This window comes from Homo sapiens, chromosome 16, assembly GCF_000001405.40.
Source record: "Homo sapiens chromosome 16, GRCh38.p14 Primary Assembly".
In the NCBI taxonomy this organism is placed as follows: domain Eukaryota; kingdom Metazoa; phylum Chordata; class Mammalia; order Primates; family Hominidae; genus Homo; species Homo sapiens.
In genome coordinates, this window is record NC_000016.10 from 14,845,455 (window position 1) to 14,867,680 (window position 22,226).

Below are 22,226 nucleotides of genomic sequence, written 5' to 3' on the forward strand. Positions count from 1 at the left end.
AGAGAGAGCATGCATCTGCTTCTGACACTTACCTAGGAGGATTCCTATTATTTAAGTTCTGAGATTTTTTTGGACCGCCACGGTGGTGTGAATTTAGAGTCCTAATGGGTGTGTGCCCAGCTCCCGCGATTCAGATTCTCAGGGGAGAGTCATTTCTCCTCCACCTGCCCTGTGCCTGCGGTTGAGATGTGCTTCCTTCCTTCCTGTCCTTCTCTTCATGATGGACTTCTTTCTCCTCTACCTTTGCGGTGACGGGGAGGCCCTTCCATCCCAGCTGTATGTGTGGGCTTCTTGTTAGAGATGGGGATCTTGGGTAGTTTTTTCTTTATCGATGGTTTGCAAAATAATGGTGAATCTTTTTTTATTTTTATTTTTATTTATTTATTTTTTTGAGACAGAGTCTCGCTCTGTGGCCTAAGCTGGAGTGCAGTAGCGCAGTCTCTCTCACCACAACCTCCGCCTCCTGGGTTCGAGCAATTCTCCTGCCTCAGCCTCCCCAGTAGCTGGGATTACAGGCGTGTGCCACCTGACCCAGCTAATTTTTATATTTTTATTTTTATGTACATTTACTTTTTTTTTTTTTTTTTTTTAAGATGGAGTCTCCCTCTGTCGCCCAGGCTGGAGTGCAGTGGCGCGATTGCAGCTTACTGCAACCTCCGCCTCCTGGGTTCAAGTGATTCTCCTGCCTCAGCCTCAGGAGTAGCTGGGATTACAAGCATGTGCCATGACGCCCAGCTAATTTTTGTATTTTTAGTAGAGACAGGGTTTCACCATGTTGGCCAGGCTGGTCTCAAACTCCTGACCTCAAGTGGTCTGCCTGCCTCAGCCTCCCAAAGTGCTAGGATTACAGGCGTGAACCACCACACCCGCCCAGACCAATAATGGTGAATCTATAACTGATGATGTCTTAGATTCATTGAAATAGAGTCTTATTTTACTGTTACTGTTCCCTCTCCTACCTCATCCCCAGGAAACATATCCATGATTTATAGCATCTTTTCAATGGGATTCTTGACCCAAAGAGGGTTCCTGGGCTCCACCTGGGAGTTGTAAGCAGGACTGCCAGTGCTTTGAGAGGAGGGTGCTTTGCTGGGTGGGCCCTAACTTTCTTCTCCATGGCAGGTCCTCAGCAAAGGGCAGCCCCTGGGTCCTGCGGGAGTTCAGGTGTCTCTGAGAAACACTGGGACCGAAGCAAAGATCCAGTCCACAGTTACACAGCCTGGCGGAAAGTGAGTAGCGTCCTGTCTCTTAGTGTTGCCTTAGAGCCGGGCTCTGACAGGGGTCATGGAGCTGGGTTTGGGAGTTTGGATTCAGGGAGTTCTGGGTTCAGATCCTGATTCAGCCTCTTTGGGTGAGTTCATGCCCGTCAGAGTGCTGAGTTCCCCACATGTGAAATGGAATCCATTTGACCCATCTTGCCTAGCATTGATGAGATGATTAAATATGAGTTCATACTGGCCAGGCATATTGGCTTGCGCCTATAATGCCAGCACTTTGGGAGGCCAGGATGGGAGGATCACTTGAGTTCAGGAGTTCGAGACCAGCCTGGACAACTTAGGGAGACTCAATCTCCACAAATAATTTAAAAAATTATATCAAGTAGAGTCCCACGGGGGAAGAAAATTAGCTGGGTGTGGTGGCATGCTTCTGTGGTCGCAGCTACTCGGGAGGCTGAGGCGGGAGGATTGCTTGAGCCTGGAAGGTTGAGGCTGCGGTGAGCCGTGATCATGTGCCACTGTGCTCCAGCCTCGGCAGCAGAGCAAGACCCTGTCTGAAACAAACAAAAAAAGAGTTAATACCCATAAAGCACCTGCTTCAAGGCCTGGGGCTTAGTGGGTCTTCATTTAGCAGCTCAGCCTGGCTCTGGAGCCTGCCAGCCCGGGCTTGAATCCCAGCTCCCCCATTTGCTGGCTGGTTGACCTAGGGCAAGTTCCTTAACCCCTCTGTGCCTCAGTTTCCTCTTTTGTAAATGAAGATAATTGTGGAACCTATCTCCTAAGGTACTGGAAAGATGAAATTAATATTATTACTTCAAGCTGCCTGGCATATTAGCTCAAATAGGTTAGCTCAGTTATGATTAGAAAAAATCATTATCATTATTATATCAAAACTGCTTTGTAGTTGGAACAGATGCCTAGCTGACCTTGCTGAGTCAGATTTAAAGCATTTATTTAATGGATGTATATAGTTGAGTTGTAAATGTTAACAGATATGCCAAGATTAATACCAGAATAGTTCAAACTGATAATTCCGAAAGCGTTCAAATCATTACTAACTCCGTTAATATACAAACTAAGTAAATTGCAAAATAGAAGTTTATAATGAGTCTGTCAGTAAGTTATTCAATTTTAAAGTTATTATTGTTGAAACTAGTTTTCATTTTTGAAATAACATTTACTTCTGCTTGACTGGTGCCTCTCCAGGCCTGGTGTGTAGCAGGAATATGAAGCTGTAATTTTTTTTCTGGGCTAGTAATTTGGTGTTGACCTTACTAGAAAAAAATAGTGTCTTGAGCCTTCTGAATACCTTTCATCTGCACTAACTGAAACAATGAAACATGTAGCACTGGGCTATTATGAAAATGAAATAGAAGCTCAATCTTACCAATACTTGTAGTAATGTGATTTCCAAGCCCTATCCAGTTATTGCAGGCAAGATTTGACACAATAAAATACCACAGAAGAAGAAATCAAATGCGTTTTCTAGTTCATTTCACCGGACTTAGCCTTCTCATTTGTCAGTTGCCTTACAAATTTGAAGGGATAAACATGTTAGTATACTGGCAGCAGCATTTCCAGCTTTAGCTCGGCTCACTCTGGTGTTAGTCTGTCTATGGCTAGTAGAGTAATTTTCATCAGCTGCTGGTTTCTTATCTCAGTTGCTTTGTGCAAAAACCCAGAATGACTTATCTGTGTTTCTCTAAAGCCTTTTTTCTGGGATTCAAAGCTTATCATAGTTTACCCTGCCCTGTGTCATTTGCATCATCTTGGGTCAGCGTCCCCCTCAGCCTGTGCATCTGTTCTGTTCTTTTTCACCCCACTTCTCCCTTCCCATGTGTTTCCTTGGACACTTCTGTCCCCTTCTCCTTGTCAGTTCATGCCTGTCACCTCTGTCAAACCCAGTCGAATGTTCTGTGACTGGTCCCTGCTGTGCTGCAAGGATTGGTTTTATGCCAGAAATCCTTGAGATTAAGGGAGACGTAAGCACTCCTCTTTCCGATCAGCACATGGAGCACCCCTCTTGGCACACAGTAAGTGCTCAATAAGCGCTCTTTTATGCAGATTTGTACAGTGAAGGATTGAATTTCATTCATGCTCATTTAACAAGCTAATGGAAGTTTGCGATAATTCCAACATTGTTTTCTTGTGCTGCCAACATTAGTCATAGAATTAGAAATACTTGGGTTGTTTGGAGAAAGTTAAATGGTTATTTTTTATGTCTTAGGTTTGCATTTTTTAAAGTTCTGCCTGGAGATTATGAAATCCTCGCAACTCATCCAACCTGGGCGTTGAAAGAGGTGAGTGACAGCTACGTCTATAGCCATGCCAATAATATGCTGGTCTTGGGACAAATGTAGGGCTTTTCAATTTAGGATATGAAAAGAATTTATGGTTCCTCCAGGACTAGATGAAGAACCAATGGTGCTGTTGTTTAGTTTGGTAGTTATTTATAAGGTGTAACTCCTCACTGTAGCAGATGTTGCTTGTGTTAGTTTCAGTTTTAGGTGACAGTGTTGTCTTCCTGCTGTGAAATAGATCTGTTTTATTAACTATAGCTATTTTAAACTAAATCAACAACAGAAGGCCCTGACGAGATTTATTTGTTGTTCTTTTTTCAGCCTGAAACAGAAATCTGTAAATATACTAAACATTCTAGAAACTGTGGTACGCGTGACCAAGGAGAATGTATGAGAATGTTTATTGCAGCTTTGTTTGTAATAGCAAAATATTGTAAACAACCTAAATGCCTTTTAAGAGAAGAATGGATTGGGGTTCCATCATACAATAGGCTGCTGTATGTCAGCAGTAATGAATGAACCAGAGCTACATATATCAATGTAACTACATTTAAAAACAGAGTTGAAGGAAATATGATTTTAAATACTTGTGATAATCATTTATGGATACAGTCTTTTTTTTTTTTTTTTTTTAAAGACGGAGTCTCGCTCTGTTGCCAAGACTGGAGTGCAGTGGCATGATCTTGGCTTATTGCAACCTCGGCCTTCTGTGTCCAAGCGAGTCTCCGGCTTCAGTCTCCTGAGCAGCTGAATTACAGGGATGTGCCACCACGCCCAGCTAATTTTTGTATTTTTAGTATATATGGGATTTTGCCATGTTGGCCAGGCTGGTCTCGAACTCCTAGCCTCAAATGATCCACCAGCCTCGGGCTCTCAAAGTGGTGGGATTACAGGTATAAACCAGTGCACTCGGCCAGATACAGTCTTTTTTTTTTTTTTTTTTTTTGCAACAGGGTCTTGCTCTGTTGCCCAGGCTAGAGTACAGTGACATATTCATGGCTCATTGCAGCCTCTGGTTCCTGGCCTTAAGCGATCCTTCACCTTGGCTTCCCAAGGATCTGGAACTGCAGGCATGTGCCACTGCCCCTAGCTAAGGATACAGTCTTTTTTTTTTTTGAGATGAAGTCTTGCTCTTGTTGCCCAGGCTGGAGTGCAATGGGGCGATCTCGGCTCATTGCAACCTCCGCCTCTTGGGTTCAAGCGATTCTCCTGCCTCAGCCTCCTGAGTAGCTGGGGTTACAGGTGCCTGCCACCATGCCCAGTTAATTTTTGTATTTTTAGTAGGGACAGGGAGGATACAGTCTTATGTAGAAAAATTATGAAGACATGTATGGGAATAGCAGACGCTGTTCAAAATGATACTGACTTCTAGAGAAAGAGGGAGGAGGGGGACTTCGGGGTATGCCAGCATCTTGAATTGTATTTTTTTAAATTTCTTTAGCTGGTTAGAAGGTATGTAAGTGTTCTTTAGCATATCTTTTTTTGTTTGACTGAAATAGTTTATAGTCAAAGATCAAAAAAGGAACTCCACCTAGTAGGTGAGGTTCTGTAATAGCCGTGAAAGACCAAATTGAAATAAGACTTAAGGGACATCTTGACATGTTAGCTTCTGTGTTAGTATTGAAGCTGTATCTCATTTTTGCTAAAGAAGCATTGGAATCAGTATTTCAGCTTCTACTCTATCTGTTTTATTATTATTTTTACTCTGTAGGTTTTACGCACTTATAATTGATGATAGTTTCACACCTAGATTCTCTTCTTACTGTTTATGACTTTTGGTTTTGGGGGTTTTTCTCTTCTGCAGCAACATTTAAAAATATTTTATTCAAGGCTGGGCGCAGTTGCTCATGCTGTAATTCCAGCATTTTGGGAGGCTGAGGTGGGTGGATCACTTGAGGTCAGGAGTTTGAGACCAACCTGGCCAACATGGTGAAACCGCATCTCTACTAAAAATAGAAAAAAATTAGCCAGGAATGGTGGCATACACCTGTAATCCCAGCTACTCGGGAGGCTGAGGCAGGAGAATCGCTTGAACCTGGGAGGTGGAGGTAGCAGTGAGCCAAGATTGCACCACTGCACTTCAGCTTGGGTGACAGAGTGAGACTCCATCTCAAAAAAAAAAAAAAAAAATTTATTCGAAATGAAAGAGCTTACACATTTATAAATAGAAGAGATTTTAAGGTTTACATTGTATGTTAATTGTCTGCATAGAAGAATCTGAGTTTATTAATATGAGATTGGGATTTTCAAGTAAAGCATGTTGTTAGAAGTCAGGATAATGTTTATCCTCCTGGGGTGTTAGTGACCGGAAGCAAGTGTGAGGGCACTTCTGGCTTGCTGGTGCTATTCTGTTGGGTAACCAGTACCCAATTTGTGACAAGCCCTGTGCTGTGTGCTTAGAATCTGTACACTTTTCTCTGTGTTTATTGTACCTTAACAAAAATGTTTAAAAATATACACATATTGTGAAAAGAACAACTTAAGGCAAATTAAACAGAGTTTAATTGAGCATAGAACAATTTGTCAATTGGGCAGCTCCCTGAGCCAGAATAGGTTTACAGCGACTGTGGCACTGTTGCGTGATTGGAAAGGGTTTATGGACAGAAAAAGAAAGTGACGGACAGAAAGTGGAAGTGAGGTACAGAAACAGTTGGATTGGTTACAGCTGGACGTTTGTCTTATTTGCACATGGTTTGAACAGTTGGCTGCCTGTGAGTAGTTGAAGGGTGGCTGCTTGAATTGGGTGAGACTTGGCAACACGTACAGATAAACCTTTAGGCCAAACTTAAAATATGTAAGGAGGCAGCTTTAGGCTAATCTTCAGTTAACACTATATATCATTAAAAATAGAAAAAAAGGCAAAATATGCTCATTAAAAAAATTGGAACATATAGAGGAATATAAAGCAGTGGAAACAAATTTTGGAAGCTGGAAAAGTATACAAGTAAAATAGCACCATATAGACAAAATCATTATTGTTTACATTTTGCCACATTTCCTTTCACTTCATTTTGGGCATTAAAAAATAATGATAAGCCAGGCACGGTGGCTCACACCTGTAATCCCAGCACTTTGGGAGGCTGAGGCGGGCGGATCACCTGAGGTCAGGAGTTCGAGACCAGCCTGGCCAACACGGTGAAACCCTGTCTCTACTAAAAATACAAAAATTAGCCGGGCGTGGTGGCGAGCACTTGTAATCCCCGCTACTTGGGAGGCTGAGGCAGGAGAATCTCTTGAACCCAGGAGGCAGAGGTTGCAGTGAGCCGAGGTTGCACCATTGCACTCAAGCCTGTGTGACATACTGAGACTCCGTCTCAAGAAAAGAAGTGATCATACTGAATAAGCAATTTTATAGATTACGTTTCCCAGTTAATATTTTAGCTTCAGCATGTCCTCATGTTGTTAGGCACTTTGCAAGTGTTTATTTTTTTACAGGTTAAAATCTTTTTCTGTTACAGGCAAGCACCACAGTGCGTGTAACCAACTCCAATGCCAATGCGGCCAGTCCCCTCATAGTTGCTGGCTACAATGTGTCTGGCTCTGTCCGAAGTGATGGGGAGCCCATGAAAGGCGTGAAGTTTCTTCTCTTTTCTTCTTTAGTAACTAAAGAGGTAAGCAAAGAAAAGAACAAAAGAGATGGTGTGAAGGGTAGGAGGGTGGGGGATTATAGACCAGAACGTACTGTTTTAAAAAATGCAGGTCTGAGTTGATTTATCATTTTAACACTTAAGAATATCGTCTGTCTCAGGCCGGGTGTGGTAGCACATGCCTGTAATCCCAGCACTTTGGGAGGCCAAGGTGGGTGGATCACTTGAGGTCAGGAGTTTTAGACCAGCCTGGCCAACATTATGAAACCCCATCTCTACTAAAAATACAAAAACATTAGCCGGGCATGTTGGCACGTGCCTGTAGTCCCAGCTGCGTGGGAGGCTGAGGCAGTAGAATCGCTTGAACCCAGGAGGTGGAGGTTGCAGTGAGCCAAGATCACACCACTGCACTCCAGCCTGGGTGACAGAGTGAGACTCTCAAAAAAAAAAAAAAAAAATTCAAGAATATCATGTGTCTCTGTTGACTCACAAGACATTGCACATCTACACTGGGAGGCAGTGGTATGTGATGGAAAGTACACAGGCTTTGAAATCAGACCTGGGTTTAAACAAATCTCAGGTTTAAACAAATTCCTCTTCCTAGCTATGCGACCCTGGGCCGGTCACATTACCTTCCTGAGCTTCCGTTTCCTTATTTGGAGAATGGTGACCCATGATAAGGAAGGACAGTCATGTCATCTTTCCCGGGAAGACTGTGCCAGTTTTTAACTTTGCAACTTGAATGTCAAGATTTTTGTTCCTTTTATCTGTATTAATGTGTCTTAGATTTCAGAAATACATATATTGACATGAAACTTAAAAAAATTTTCCTATAATGTGGCTAATTGATGGTATTCAGAACATGTAAATGGAAAAGGAAGTCTTGTCTTTTTTACCCCCTGGCATAGGATGTCCTGGGCTGCAATGTCTCACCAGTGCCTGGGTTCCAGCCCCAAGACGAGAGTCTGGTGTATTTGTGCTACACGGTCTCCAGAGAAGATGGCTCGTTCTCTTTCTATTCCTTGCCAAGTGGGGGCTACACTGTGGTGAGTAAAGCAGATTTCCGTTCTGTTTATGTCTGAGACTCTCATGACACAGTAAAAGCCAATGCTGTTTGGGTGTTAAAGGAAAAGATGGTTGGCCTGCAGTTCTCTGAACACGCTGTTAAGCAGTAACTTACTTAAGATGAGACACTCACCCCTTCGTAATAGCTACAAAAAGGGCAAGGCTTCCTCTTTTCGAATCTGCAACAGTTATGATGAATGTTTCTCTTGGTCTGTCTGAACCCCTTGTCATTTGTGGGCTGCTAGATCGATTATTAATATTGCTGATTGATCATGTTAGTGGTTCTTAGTGATTAACAGACTCTTCCTTCCAGATTCCGTTCTATCGAGGGGAGAGGATTACCTTTGATGTGGCGCCTTCCAGACTTGACTTCACAGTGGAGCATGACAGCTTGAAAATCGAGGTAAGGCTTTTCTGTCTTCTGGAGGGACAGGTGTTTGAGTTCCCATCCCTAGGCACAGGTATTGCAAACATGTTTTAAAAAAAAATCAATTATTTTATCTGGAAGGGCTGTTGGAAAAAATGCCATCTGGTATTATATTCTTACCCATGATGTCCTTATCGTAGAGAGCTGGATTCCTAGTTAAATCTACTCATTCAATGAAATATATTTATTGATTGCCAGTGACATGCATTTCAGGCACCATTCCAGGACTGGGGATATAGCAGTGACCAAAAGAGGCAAAAATTCTTGTCCCTGTGGACCTCATTTTTTTTTTTTTTTTTTTTAAGATAGGGTCTCACTGTGTGGCTCAAGCTGGAGTGCAGTGGTACGATCTCATCTCACTGCAGCCATTGCCTCCAGGGCTCAAGTGATCCTCCCACCTCAGCCTGTTGAGTAGCTGGGACCACAGGCACGTGCCACCATGCCCAGCTAATTTTTGTATTTTTGTTAGAGATGGGGTTTCACCATGTTGCCCAGGCTGTTCTCTAACTCCTGGGTTCAAGTGATCTGCCTGCCTCGGCTTCCCAAAGTGTTGGGATTACAGGTGTGAGCCATCGCACCTGGCTAGACCTCATTTTCTAATGACAGGAAGGGTCAATACATGTATAGATGTATAAGTTAGAAAGTACAGTAGAAGGTGATAAGTGTTCTCTAGAAAAATAAAGGAAGAAAGGAGGTCGTACAGTATCAGGGTGGAGACAGGGGTTGCAGTTGTACATAGGGTGTTTTTGGGAAGTCCTCCCTGTGAAGGTGACATTTGAGCAACAACCTGAAGGGAAAGAACAAGAGAACCATACTTCACTCCTGCAGGAAGAGTGTGTAAGACTGAGGGAACGGCACGTGCAAAGGTCCTGAGGCAGGAGTGTGCTGAAGGGTTTGGGGCATCCCAAGGAGGCCAGGGTGGCTGGAGTGGAGGGAATGAGCAAGGAAGGAGGAGGCGGAAAGAGGGTCAGGGAGGTGACAGGGCAGATTGTGCAGGGCTTGGTGGGCCACTTTGCCTATAACTCTGGGTGAGAATTGGTGCCACTGGAAGGTTCCTAGCAGAGGAGTGGCGTGATCCTTCTGGCAGCTGCATTGAGGAGAGTTTGCAGGGTGTCAGGGTGGAAGTGGGAGACCAGTTGGGATGCCATGGCCGTAAACCAGGTGAGAACTGGCAGAGCTTGGACCGTGGTGGTAGGAATGGGCAGTGTGATACATGGCTTGATAAACTGCCTAGACCCTCACATAAATGGTAAATGTATTTTTCATCTCACTTACGTCTCCTTTAATTACAGAAGTAGAAAATGGTTACTGTAGAAAATTGGCTAGCTAGAACAAATCCCAAAAGAAAATAACAGCCTCTCCTAAGTGGACCACCCAATGTTAGAGTTATCGAAGCAATTATATTTTAATCACTTTCTTTTAATATTACATTTGAAAGTACTGTGTTAAAATCGCTTAAACTGGCAGAAGCGGACTTTTAGGTCATATGCACAGTGGGGTGCAGACTCTGCATTTTAAGATTCAGTGGAGTGTTTGACCGTTCTGCTGTACACTGGAGGGGAAAGAGAAGGGTAAGAAGATGAAGCCTTTACTTTGCTTCTCATAGCTTGCAGAGAAGGATGGGGGCAGGTGAGCAGAGACAGCTATTCCCAGATTACAGCCAAATACATATTTTGAAAATGATGAATGGAATTTCAGGGAATGGGGCCCTGTAAGTTCCCTGAGGTCAGGTACCGTGTCTTATTCTTTACTGTTTTCCTAACGTGTGATTTAGTGCCTGGCACATAGTAGGTGCCCAGCAAAAATATTTGTTGAGTACATATGTGAATTAATAAGTAGGTAATGCATGGAATGAAACATGTCTTTTTGGAAAGATCAAGAAGGACTACCTGTCATGTGAGACCATCACTAAGAAACCATTTGCTGAAAAAAAAATAAAAAAATAAAAAAGAAGGGCTCCCTGCATAAAAAGGAAGTCATTTAATTATTTAAAGCTTCATCTCAAATGCTGTTGCACACGTGCGTGCACACATTCATTCATTCAGGAGTCAGTTATTGAGTGCCTGCTGTGTACCAGGTGACTAAGACAGAAAAAATCCCTGTCTCCATGAGGTAACATGCTAGTGGGAGGGAGACAACTAAGAAATCGAACGAGGACATTTCAGATACTGGTAAGTTTGATGAAGATACTAAAATGGGTTAGCAGTGGTGACCTTGGGGATACACAGATCAGGGCTGGAACTCAGTAACTGCAGAGAAAGCACCGGTGTGCTGCTCACAGGCGAGTGGGGCACAGACACAGACACAGACACATGGAGCATGGGACCACGTGTGAGCCAGTGATGGTGGTGGAGGAGGGTGGTCTAGGTGGATTTCTTTTTTTTTCTTTGAGACAGAGTCTTGCTGCGTCACACAGGCTGGCACTGTCTTGGCTCACTGCAACCTCCGCATCCCGAGTTGAAGCGATTCTCCTGCCTCAGCCTCCCGAGTAGCTGGGATTACAGGCGCCTGCCACCACACCTGGCTAATTTTTGTATTTTTAGTGGAGACAGGGCTTCACCATGTTGGCTAGGCTGGTCTTGGACTCCTGACCTCAAGTGATCTGCCTGCCTCGGCCTCCCAAAGTGCTGGGATTACAGGCGTGAACCACTGCGCCTGGCCTAGGTGGATTTCATAAGGACCTGTGTTCAGGTCGTGGTGGAAAGACAGGAGGGGGCACGTGAGACCTTGCAGAGGTGGAATCCACAGGACTGATCGATGCTGGAGGAGCGGGGCGGGGCATCCAAAGTGATGCCGGGGTGTGCATGGGAGACTGGAGGAAGACGTGGTTCACCAAAATGGGGGCATCTGGAGGGGAGGAGATGGCACCGGGGTAAGGGTGGGGGGCTTCTAGAAGCTTGAGTCAGTGACCTTTTAACGAGGGAAGTAAGTCTCTAGACTTTTCTGTTGTTTGACACTCAGCAGTGTGTTGGGAACACAACAGAGAAGACAGATGTGGGTAAAGTGAGAGGGAGCCTGGCTGGCACACAGGACCGGGGCACTGAGTGTTGGGAGGTGGGCGGCAGGAGCAGACATGGTAGGTGGTGGCCGGCGCAGCAGAAGGAGTCTTTGTGGCTCTGGCACAGGAGCACCTTCGAGCACCTTCTTCTTGTTCTTTGTTTTCTAGCCCGTGTTCCACGTCATGGGATTCTCCGTCACCGGGAGGGTCTTGAACGGACCCGAAGGAGATGGTGTTCCAGAAGCAGTAGTCACCCTGAATAACCAAATCAAAGGTGGGCTGACACAGCAGCCCCAGGCTGATGGCCAGCGCTCTTTTTGGATCACAGAGAGAAATGGAGAGGAACTGATGACTATATGAGAACATGGCAGCTTTTGGTCCAAGTATTCTGGTGTACATGTAAGGATACACTGTTGTTTTTGGCTTATCTTCTGTTTGTGTGTTTTTGTTTTACAGTTAAAACAAAAGCTGATGGCTCATTCCGCCTTGAGAACATAACCACAGGGACATACACCATCCATGCTCAGAAAGAGCACCTCTACTTTGAAACGGTCACCATCAAAATTGCACCGAACACACCTCAGCTGGCTGACATTATTGCAACAGGGTAAGCTTATCGTGTGGATTTGGAAGCGCCAGTAAATATGCTGGCAGCCAGTGTAGAACCGAATGACCTGTGATCTGTGTGTCTTTGCCGAGCTTAAGAACTTAAGAAAGATTAGTACTTTTTTTTTTTTTTTTTTGAGAGACAGAGTCTTGCCCTGTTGCCCAGGCTGTAGTGCAGTGGTGCCATCTCGACTCACTGCAACCTCTGCCTCCCAGGTTCAAGTGATTCTCCTGCCTCAGCTTCCCAAGTAGCTGGGACTACAGGCGTGCCCCACCACACCCAGCTAATTTTTGTATTTTTTAGTAGAGACAGGGTTTCACTATATGTTGTCCAGGCTAGTCTCAAAACTCCTAACCTCAGGCTGTCTGCCTGCTTTGGCCTCCCAAAGTGCTGGGATTATAGGTGTGAGACACTGCACCCGGCCAAGAAAGATTAGTTCTAAATCTTACAAACTGAAGGTACTGACATGTCGGATGCTTAATGAAAAGTCCCTTGCTTCAAATTAAAATGGGCTTGTGAAATTAAAAAATCTTTCATGTCTGACTTTCACGATCTTTCACAGGACCCCTCTTTGCTTAATCTTTGAGGATTTTTGGAAGATGGTATTGTTGGTTGAGAAAGCTTATTGGAAGATGCTTCAGGTCATTGGTGTAGTTCTTCCTGCTTGTAGTTACTCATTATACTATAAGTACAGGCAGGGACATCTTGTGGTTGAATTCATGTGGTTTTACCATCATCTGAAGCAAGATTGTGTAGTGCCAAGAACTTGGGCTTTGGAGTCAGATACCAGATCCACCTGTATGTAACCTGCAGAACAGCTTTAGACATAACAGGTGCTCACAAAACAGTAGCTTAGAAGGAGACTGCAGGGTCTGCTTGGGAGAAGCGCGGCATGAGCAAAGTCAGGCAGTCTCACAGCAGCATGAGGTGGCTGCGGGTGTAAAGCTGGGTGCTACTGAAGCAGAATATACTGGCAGGTGAAGGTGATGATGAGGCCAACCCCATAGCACCTCCTCACACCCCACCGGGGCGTAGGGGCTTTCTCCCACTGGGGCCAACGGGCCATGAGTGGTTTTGAGCATTAATATAACAAGCTTTGATCATTGTTTTCAATAGGGCATTCTGAAAACAATGGCATGGAGTAGAGTGGCTTTGAAGGGGACAGGACTTGGGCACAGGAGCTCTGAAAGCAGAGACGACAAGGGCTTGCCTTGTAGGGAAGTCAGGGACAGACTGGTGAGATATTTAGGGTGCCCAGCTTGAGAGGTGTGATGGCTGGGGACAGAAAGAGAAGCCAGTTAGGTGATGAGGGTTCAGATTTGGCCACATTGGTCTGTAGGACCACTGGGTGGAGCTCTTCAATAGGTACTTGGATGGATGGTAAATCCTGAAGATTTGGCCGCAGGTGGCAGCCAGGACCTCAAATATGTATGTGCAAGTAGAATTAGAAGAACAGTAGGCCAAAAACAGAGTGCCAGGTGGCCCAGGGGGGACCTAGGGAGCATGAGGTCACAGGAGCTAAGAAAGTAAGTTTGGGGTAGGAGGTAGTGCCCAACAGGGAGGTGCAGGGAGCTGGGCCCTGGTGAACACAGTCCCCTGGCTTGATCACTGAGGAGGCCACAGTGACTCTTTTCTGTAGACAGATGGAGGTCGAGGTCAAGGAGTCCAGTGGTGAATGGAAGACAGGGAAGCAAATTACCCTCAGAAAGTAATTCTTGGATTTAAGTCTTTCCCACCTTCCATAAACACTTTGTGCAATTACTCTAGATGAGGCACTGAAAAATGCTTCATACCTAATAATTAATCAAACTAGTGTTCCAGAGATGGGGCTTTCACCCTACCAGGGAGACAGACTGAAGACAAATACATCTGTGGCCAGGCTTAATGCCTCACACCTGTAATCCATCCCAGCACTTTGGGAGGCAGAGGTGGGCGGATCGATTGAGCCCAGGAGTTTGAGACCAGCCTGGGCAACTTGGCAAAACACCATCTCTACCAAAAATGCAAAAATTAGCTAGTTTCATAACCTGGTCTAAAAATAAATAAATAAAGAGATAAAAATTAAAAAATAAAATAACAAGATTTTAAAAAAAGACAAGACAAATACATTTATGCTGCTAAATTATGGCAAGTGTTGTGCAGAGAAGAGATCAGGGTGCTGCAAGAAGAGCTAATTTAGAGTGGGAGCTCTGCAAGGCTCTCTGGGTTGCAGAGACCTTAGTAAAGACTAAAAGTTAGCTAAAGAAAGATCTTCCCTAGTAGAGAAGCAACATGCTCAGAGGCCTGCATAGGATAGGAAGGACCTGAAAGGCAGTCTGCGCAGCTGGAGGAGGTGGGTGAGGTCAGGGAGCTCTGGGGCCTTGTAGCCTTGCTTTGGGATTGGGCTTTGCTCCCTAATGCAGTGGAAACCCGTTAGGAGTTGTCTGTTGGTTGGCCGGGCACGGTGGCTCACGCCTATGATCTCAGCACTTTGGGAGGCTGAGGTGGGCGGATCATGAGGTCAGGAGTTCAAGCCCAGCCTGGCCGCATGGTGAAACCCGGTCTGTACTAAAGATACAAAAGGTTGGCGGGGCATGGTGATGCGCGCCTATAATCCCAGCAACTCAGGAGGCTGAGGCAGGAGAATCGCTTGAACCCGGGAGGCAGGGGTTGCAGTGAGCTGAGATTGCACCATTGCACTCCAGCCTGGGCGACAGGGTGAGATTCCGTCTCAAAAAAAAAAAAAAAAGAGTTATCAGTTGGCAAGGGAGTGATAGGGATCATGGTACTTTAAAAAGTTTGTTTTTCTTCCTGGCTGCTGTGTGGAGAATGGATTGGAGGAAAGCCATGGTGTGAATGGAGGGGCCAGATATGAGGCAGTGGTGGTTGTCTGGAGGAGATATGGTAGTGGCCGGGCCCAGGCGGCTGGCAGGCGAGGGAGCGAGGAGTAGATGGATTTGGTAGGTCACATGGAGAACACACCCACAGGCCTGTGCTGTTGAGGTTACAGGTTTCTTATTTGAGCCACTGGGTAGATGGAGGCGGCGCTGTTCACGGAGATGGAGGAAATATATTTATTTTCTCCTTTAAAGTAGAGTATTTGGGTCAAAGAAAGAAAAATAGCATTTGTTGAACATTTTTGGAAAAATCTCTGTTTTTTAATTGGCCGACGTAGTACATTTGCCTTTTTAGCACACTGATACTTCTTACTATTTCTTTTCCTTTTTATTTTTTTTTTGAGACAGGGTCTTACTCCGTTGCCCAGGCTGGAGTACAGTGGCGCCATCTCGGCTCACTGCAGCCTCCGCCTCTCGGGTTCAAGTGATTCTCCTGCCCCAGCCTCCTGAGTAGCTGGGATTACAGGCTAATTTTTATATTTTTTAGTAGAGATGTGGTTTTGCCGTGTTGGCTAGGCTGGTCTCGAACTCCTGACCTCAAGTGACCCACCCGCCTCGGCTTCCCAAAGTGCTGGGATTACAGGCTGAGCCATGGTGCCTAGTCTTCCTTTAAAGTAAAATAAAAAAATTACTCAATTTATTGTAAAAACAAACTCTTTGGCTTCTGTCCAAATGACTGTGAAAATAGATTTCTCTCAATATCCACCAATATTACCTGTTTCTGTCCATATATGTATTTAAACCCTGTTGAAAGAATTTATTGATACAAATCAATTTTTAAGGGCTTCAGTATAACGGAACCTTTTTCTACCACCCTTTTGGTTTATTTTTCCAGACTAAGCCAGTATAGATTTGAGGTTTAGGGAAAATAGGCACTTCTTTTTAATAAGAATGTGGGCTAAAACAGATCTTATGGTTCAAATATTTACAACTTAAGGAGGCAAAGAGATTTGATAGGAAATAGACAAGGTGATGTGTCCTCTGACAGGTACACAAATCAAGAGAATATGACAGGTCCTTGGGAATGATTGTGTCAGTGTTCGCTTCCCATCCTTTTATTCTGAAAGTTCACAGTAGGGGAATGTGAGAACCAAAATGCATATGCTAGGTCAGGGACTGGGACACTTTCTCTGTGGAGAGCCAGAGAATAACTATTTTAGGCTGCGTGAGCCATACGGTCTCTAGGACAACAGCTGAGATAGACAATTTGTAAATGAATGGGCAGAGCGCAACACAACTACATTTTTGGACACCACAGTTTGCATTTCATGTAATTTTTACATGTGAAATATTATCTTTCTTTTGATTTTTTTTTTTTTAACTTTAACCACTTAAGAGTGTAAAATTCTTTTTCTCGGCTTGCAGTTCATACACAAACGGGAGGGGGGTCCTTGGGTGGTAGTTTGCTGACCCATGCTGGAGATAGTGAGCTCATATGGCTGGGCAGTCCCTTCACTCTGAAGAAATGGCTGTGTTTTTCATGATTCCTAGATTTCACATACACAATCTTCCACCATTTCCTTGTGTTTTCCACTGTTTTTTTTATTTGAGGCGGAGTGGTGGTTCCAACATTTAATGTACCCCTAATTGTCAGAATCCAACATTCTTGATTATCTTTATGTCAGAAGTAACTAATTTTTATCTAAAATGATTCTTGAAGATTCTTTAAAATGAACAGTTGAAAAGACAACTGTGACCCCCAGCTAGGATGTACTATTACACTTTAACACACCAGCTGCTTCAGAAATGAAGACCAGCACTCCAAGGATGATGGTCGTTGTAGGGGGGCCTCTCGTGTGTTATTCGAGGGATGCCTTGCAACACCTTACTCCTTATTTAGAATCTCAAATCTGAAGCATTACCTTAATAGGGCTTTTCAGTTATAAGTTACATTTGTGGCTCCTACCTCCCAAGGAGTTCAATTTTAGCTTTGCATTTTTTAACTTAATTACCTTTTCTGTTCCAATCTCCCTGTTTGCTTTCATCCATGTATTATATATAATCACAAGCAAGGAAGACGTCTTTGATAATCCTGACTTATTTGATGGCCTGGTAATGCCACAGTTTCTTAGGCAGCTTAGAGCTCTTGCTTTTAAGGGCTAGCCCACATTCTCAGTCCAAGGCCGCTCCGCTGTCAACGATCCAATTACCTGAAACGTTTTTATTATCTGCAGATTTTCTTAAAATTGCCTCTGCAGTGGGGGATTGCCAGATGTCACCCGGAACACACAAACAGCCCCACTACGGGCCCCTGTTCTGTAGAAAGATGCCCAGTCTTGCTTCTGAAGGTTGCTTTTTAAAACCAGAATGAAGGTTGCTTTTTAAAACCAGAATCATCTGGACTGCATTCTGTCTCTTCATTAAGATTAGACTATTCTCAGGAACAAGGGCTGGGAGAGGGCTGCATCTTTTTTGGTCTATAAGAGCCTTTCCTGTTATAATTGAGTCCTCGTGCTGGAATGAATGGTCTTCTCTTTGCAGGTTCAGTGTCTGTGGTCAGATATCAATCATTCGCTTCCCCGACACCGTCAAGCAGATGAATAAATACAAAGTTGTCCTGTCATCTCAAGACAAGGACAAGTCTTTGGTCACCGTGGAGACAGATGCTCATGGATCATTTTGTTTTAAAGCAAAACCAGGGACTTACAAAGTGCAGGTGCGATGCATTGTTTTAAATTTAAAATGTTTTGAGAAAAAGCAGTGATTTTTAGAAGGGTTATTAGGTCGAATGGGGTTAGAGAAGGAGCATTCCAGTTTCCAACTTCTTGTTTCTAAGTCTTTACAATCCTGCACCAGTAGAGGAGAGTCAGATAGGCATCCAGCTAAAAAATAATGCCATCTGCCTCTCTTTTTTCCAGTCTTGATGTTTATTAGTATCAGGCTGCCAGTCACTCCTCTACCTTCAGGCTTCTGGCTGCTGTAGAATGTCGATGAGTCCAAGAGGACACCAAAAATGAACTCTACTAATGGCCGCTCAAAAATGGCCATAGTGCGTGGCTTCTGGGACCCCAGGCCAAAATGGAGCTTCCCATTTCCTGCTTTGCCTTGACTTCAAGATGGCTAGGCAGGGACCACGCGACTTATCCATTCAAGCAGGCCGAGAACGGGGAGACGGTCTGGCCTGTGGTCTCATCACCATGGTGAAGGCCCAAGCCACAGCTGGCCCAAGCAAGCAAGAGACAGGACAGAGCAGAGGTCAGCCCACCATGCCTTTCAGTGCAGTGGCCCTGCCCTTGGGGAGAGACTGTTTCCGTGGGCTGTCACCCATCAAATCAGCAGCTGCCCTTCCTCCCTGTGGAAGAGCAAATAACACAAAGGGAGAGGGCCGAGAAGGTTCCCTGTTAGACTCTGCTGTCCTCTAGGGCAAAGTGGGGTCCCTCCCTCTGTGGGAAACAGGGTAGGAGATTGCGTTCTCCCTGCTTCCACAGAACAGCGTGGTGTGTGGGTTGACAGCTGCCTTTATTAGATGGTAGCTGGCTTCTTGCGAAGATGTCCACATTGACAAGTCTTTGGAAGCCCTTTCGGAAGCATGATGGACTTCTCCAAGGAAGGGCAGTGTCGTCTTTACTAGGGATGAAAGAGTTGACCGCTGCTACCTTCACCTGTTCCTCTTCTTAGCCCATGAAAGGCACGCAGAACAATAGGAGGAAGAAAATGACTTAATTCCACCAAAGTGTCATCCACATAGTGTTAACAGGTTCAGAGCTTATGCTACAAGTGATCCGAAGCCGGGAAAAGTGACTGGGATGTAGTATGGTTTCTAGTATGTAAGTGAGGCGTGTCCGCATTGCGGGCCTGTGGGGAATTAGGCCAGATAGACTTTTGTTCATACACATCGGTCTGTTGAGGCTAATTTTTCATCTGGGTAGAACTGTGCTTACTTCACACAAGTTATTCGTGGATTTGTTGTGATTGTAAAATCGGCCTGGAAACGAACCTTTGGCCTTCAAAATCTCTTTAGCCTTGGTCCCAGATGAATGTTCTAGCGCCCTGTAGGTCAGGGGGAAGATCTCCCCGAATGCAGCCTCTAACGTTCCATCCACGTTTCCACAGGTGATGGTTCCTGAGGCAGAAACCAGAGCAGGGCTGACGTTGAAACCCCAGACATTTCCTCTTACTGTGACCAACAGGCCCATGATGGATGTGGCCTTTGTACAGTTCTTGGCATCAGTTTCTGGGAAAGTCTCTTGTTTGGGTAAGATATCACTGGAAAGTAAGAACACATAGTTTCAAAGAAGTCAGCCGGTAGGAGTGGGATTTGGGAAACTTTTCCTTTTGCCTTTGTTGTTTGCTACTGATCACCTGCGTGCGAGGGAGGCTTCTTGGAGTCAAGTGGGTGCATGTTAGCTTGAAAGAAGCACTCCGTCTGCCTCCGGCCACTGCCTCTTAGGAGCTCAGCAGTAGCAAGAAGCTATTACATAGGGTTAGGATTCAAACCTGTGCTGAAGCCTTATAAGGGGTCACATGGAGCCCTCCCTTCTTTTCCCTGCAGACACCTGTGGTGACTTGCTGGTGACTCTACAGTCCCTGAGCCGCCAGGGTGAGAAGCGGAGCCTCCAGCTCTCCGGCAAGGTCAACGCCATGACTTTCACCTTTGACAACGTGCTCCCTGGAAAATACAAAAGTAAGAATTGGAATGCAACATCCTGTGGCCCTCACACACTTCTTGTCTTTGTAAACTTTCTAAAACTCAGGTCTCAAATTGTATCACGACCATGTACCTTTCCTTGTTTTAAGTCGTCTTTGCCTCGTGACCTTGACTGCATTATTTAGCGTTGGACAAGCATGGAGGAGTCCAGGCCCTGAGCTGACCGCCAGCTTGTCTGCACAGCCCACTGGCGGCTTCTGTTAAGGGAGGGTGCCCCGACGTATGGCATTTTATTTCTAAAGCCCAGAGAAAGGAGTGTGAAATAGTTCCACTGATGTGTTCTACTAACTTAGCAGTACTGGTGCTGAGTACTGGCCATGGCAAGGTACTTGACCTCCCTGAAACTCAGTTTTCCCATCTGTAAAATAGACGTAATAGAACCTTTCTGCAGAATATAAGACTAAAAGAAGTAAAGTTTATAAAGCCCGTTGTGCAGAGAGCCAGCTAAGTAGCTGGTGCCCACAAATGTTACTTCCCTTTTCCTTGCCCTTCTTAAGAAGCCACTTCTTGCCTGTATTTCTGCTTTTTCAGAAATCAGCTTGGGGCTGCTGGCAGTGGATAGCTCATAAAACAGACTGCTTTTTCTGGAATTATATTAATATTTTCTGTTATGGCAGGGCTTGGCAGACTACAAAAACTGCCTTTTATAAGCGTAGTTTCCTTAGAATACAGCCTTGCCCATTTGTTTATGGATTCTCTATGGCTGCTCGTGTGTAACAGTGGCCAAGTCGAGTGGTTGAGGCTGACAAAGCATGTGGCCTGCAAAACTGAAAAGAGTTACAGAAAAAGTTTGTGGATCCCTGAATACCTTACTTGCAGCCTGATCTTACAGGCCCCATTAGATTTCTTTCTTGATGTAATGGAAATTGGTTCCAGTTTTTCTTTCTTTTTTTTTTGAAATTTAGCCTCGCTCTGTCACCCAGGCCGGAGTGTGGTGGCGCGACCTTGGCTCACTGCAACCTCTCCGCCTTCTGGGTGCAGGAGATTCTCTTGCCTCAGCTTCCCGAGTAGCTGGGATTACAGGCATGCACCACCATGCCTGGATAACTTTTGTATTTTTAGTAGAGATGGGGTTTTGCTATGTTGGTCAGACTGGTCTTGAACTCCTGGCTTCAAGCCATCCAAGTGCGTCGGCCTCCCAGAGTGCTGGGATTATAGGCATGAGCCACCACGCTCGACTCCAGGTTTTCTTTAGCAGTAATTTATTCCAAATACTGCTAGTTATAAATATATGTATGTGTATATTTCTATCTTTATGTCTACATACACACCTGCTTTTTAAAATTGATTAATTCATGATCATTGTTTCTGGTGGCGTGGAGGGAGGTGGTGTGCTCCACGCCCATGTATCCGTTTTTGGTGTTTGCTTTTGCAGTAAGCATCATGCATGAGGATTGGTGCTGGAAGAACAAGAGCCTGGAGGTGGAAGTGCTGGAGGATGACATGTCTGCAGTTGAGTTCAGGCAGACGGGCTACATGCTGAGATGTTCCCTGTCTCACGCCATCACTCTGGTATGTACGGCTTATTGAGTCTCTTATTTGGAAAAGCGCTCGCCTTGTGGATGTCAAGAAAGACTAACATCCCAGGAATATTGTAAACGTAGGCAAGTTAGATTTCCTTTTCTGCCTCTCCACTCGCCCACCTGTTACGCAACGCATAATCAGGAAGCATTTATACTCTCTCAGTGGAAGGACCCCTGTATTTAGGAGGTTTCCTTGTCCTGGCCCTACACTAAATCTGACTGGTGATTCGGGGTGACCTTTGGTACAGTGCAGAGCACACTGGCTTTATATTATTAGTAATAATAGCTTTGGGTAAATTCGTTTACTGCTTCTCAGCCTCAGTTTTCACCGAAAATTGAGATCTTAATACCTACTTCTCAGGGTTATGGCAGGGCTTAAGTGAACCCTCTTAGGTATCAAAGTGTCCTTGGTGTACACCGCTCTGTACTGCCAAGTGAGTTTCTCTGATATATATATATATATATATATATATATTTTTTTTTTTTTTTTTTTTTTTTTTTTTGAGATGGAGTCTTGCTCTGTTGCCCAGGCTGGAGTGCAGTGGTGCAATCTCGGCTCACTGAAACCTCCGCCTCCCGAGTTCAAGCGATTCTCCTGCTTCAGCCCCCCGAGTAGCTGGGACTAGAGGTGCGTGCCGCCATGCCCAGCTAATTTTTTTCTTTTTTTTTTGTATTTTTGTTAGAGACAGAGTTCCACCATGTTGGCCAGACTGGTCTTAAAACTCCTGACCTCAGGGGATCCACCCGCGTTGGCCTCGCAGAGTGCTAGGATTACAGGTGTGAGCCATTGTGCCCCACCTTCTCTGGTGTATTTGTTCCAGTGCAGGGGAAGAAGCTGTAAACAGGATCTTAGCTTCTTGTTGACTGTGGTCTCTGTGGCCTGAAAGGCAGTGTGAAATGGGTTTCAGGAGCACCTCCGTAGATCCCTTCGTGAATTTTCTATAATGTTTTGATGTCGAGCGGCGGCAGATGTCATCG

General features: G+C 44.9%; 1 protein-coding gene across 1 annotated transcript in view; it reads left to right on the forward strand.

Moving 5' to 3' along the window:
- The window catches only part of NOMO1 (NODAL modulator 1), a 62,437-nt gene that overhangs the window by 11,734 nt on the left and 28,477 nt on the right, over positions 1–22,226 (forward strand). Inside the window, exons 5-15 of the mRNA NM_014287.4 lie at positions 1,123–1,229; positions 3,445–3,517; positions 6,976–7,128; positions 8,013–8,150; positions 8,483–8,572; positions 11,763–11,868; positions 12,051–12,201; positions 17,559–17,733; positions 19,131–19,272; positions 19,570–19,701; positions 21,101–21,237. Of these exons, the coding sequence (NP_055102.3) occupies positions 1,123–1,229; positions 3,445–3,517; positions 6,976–7,128; positions 8,013–8,150; positions 8,483–8,572; positions 11,763–11,868; positions 12,051–12,201; positions 17,559–17,733; positions 19,131–19,272; positions 19,570–19,701; positions 21,101–21,237 (1,404 nt within the window). The remainder of the gene's footprint in view (positions 1–1,122; positions 1,230–3,444; positions 3,518–6,975; positions 7,129–8,012; positions 8,151–8,482; positions 8,573–11,762; positions 11,869–12,050; positions 12,202–17,558; positions 17,734–19,130; positions 19,273–19,569; positions 19,702–21,100; positions 21,238–22,226) is intronic.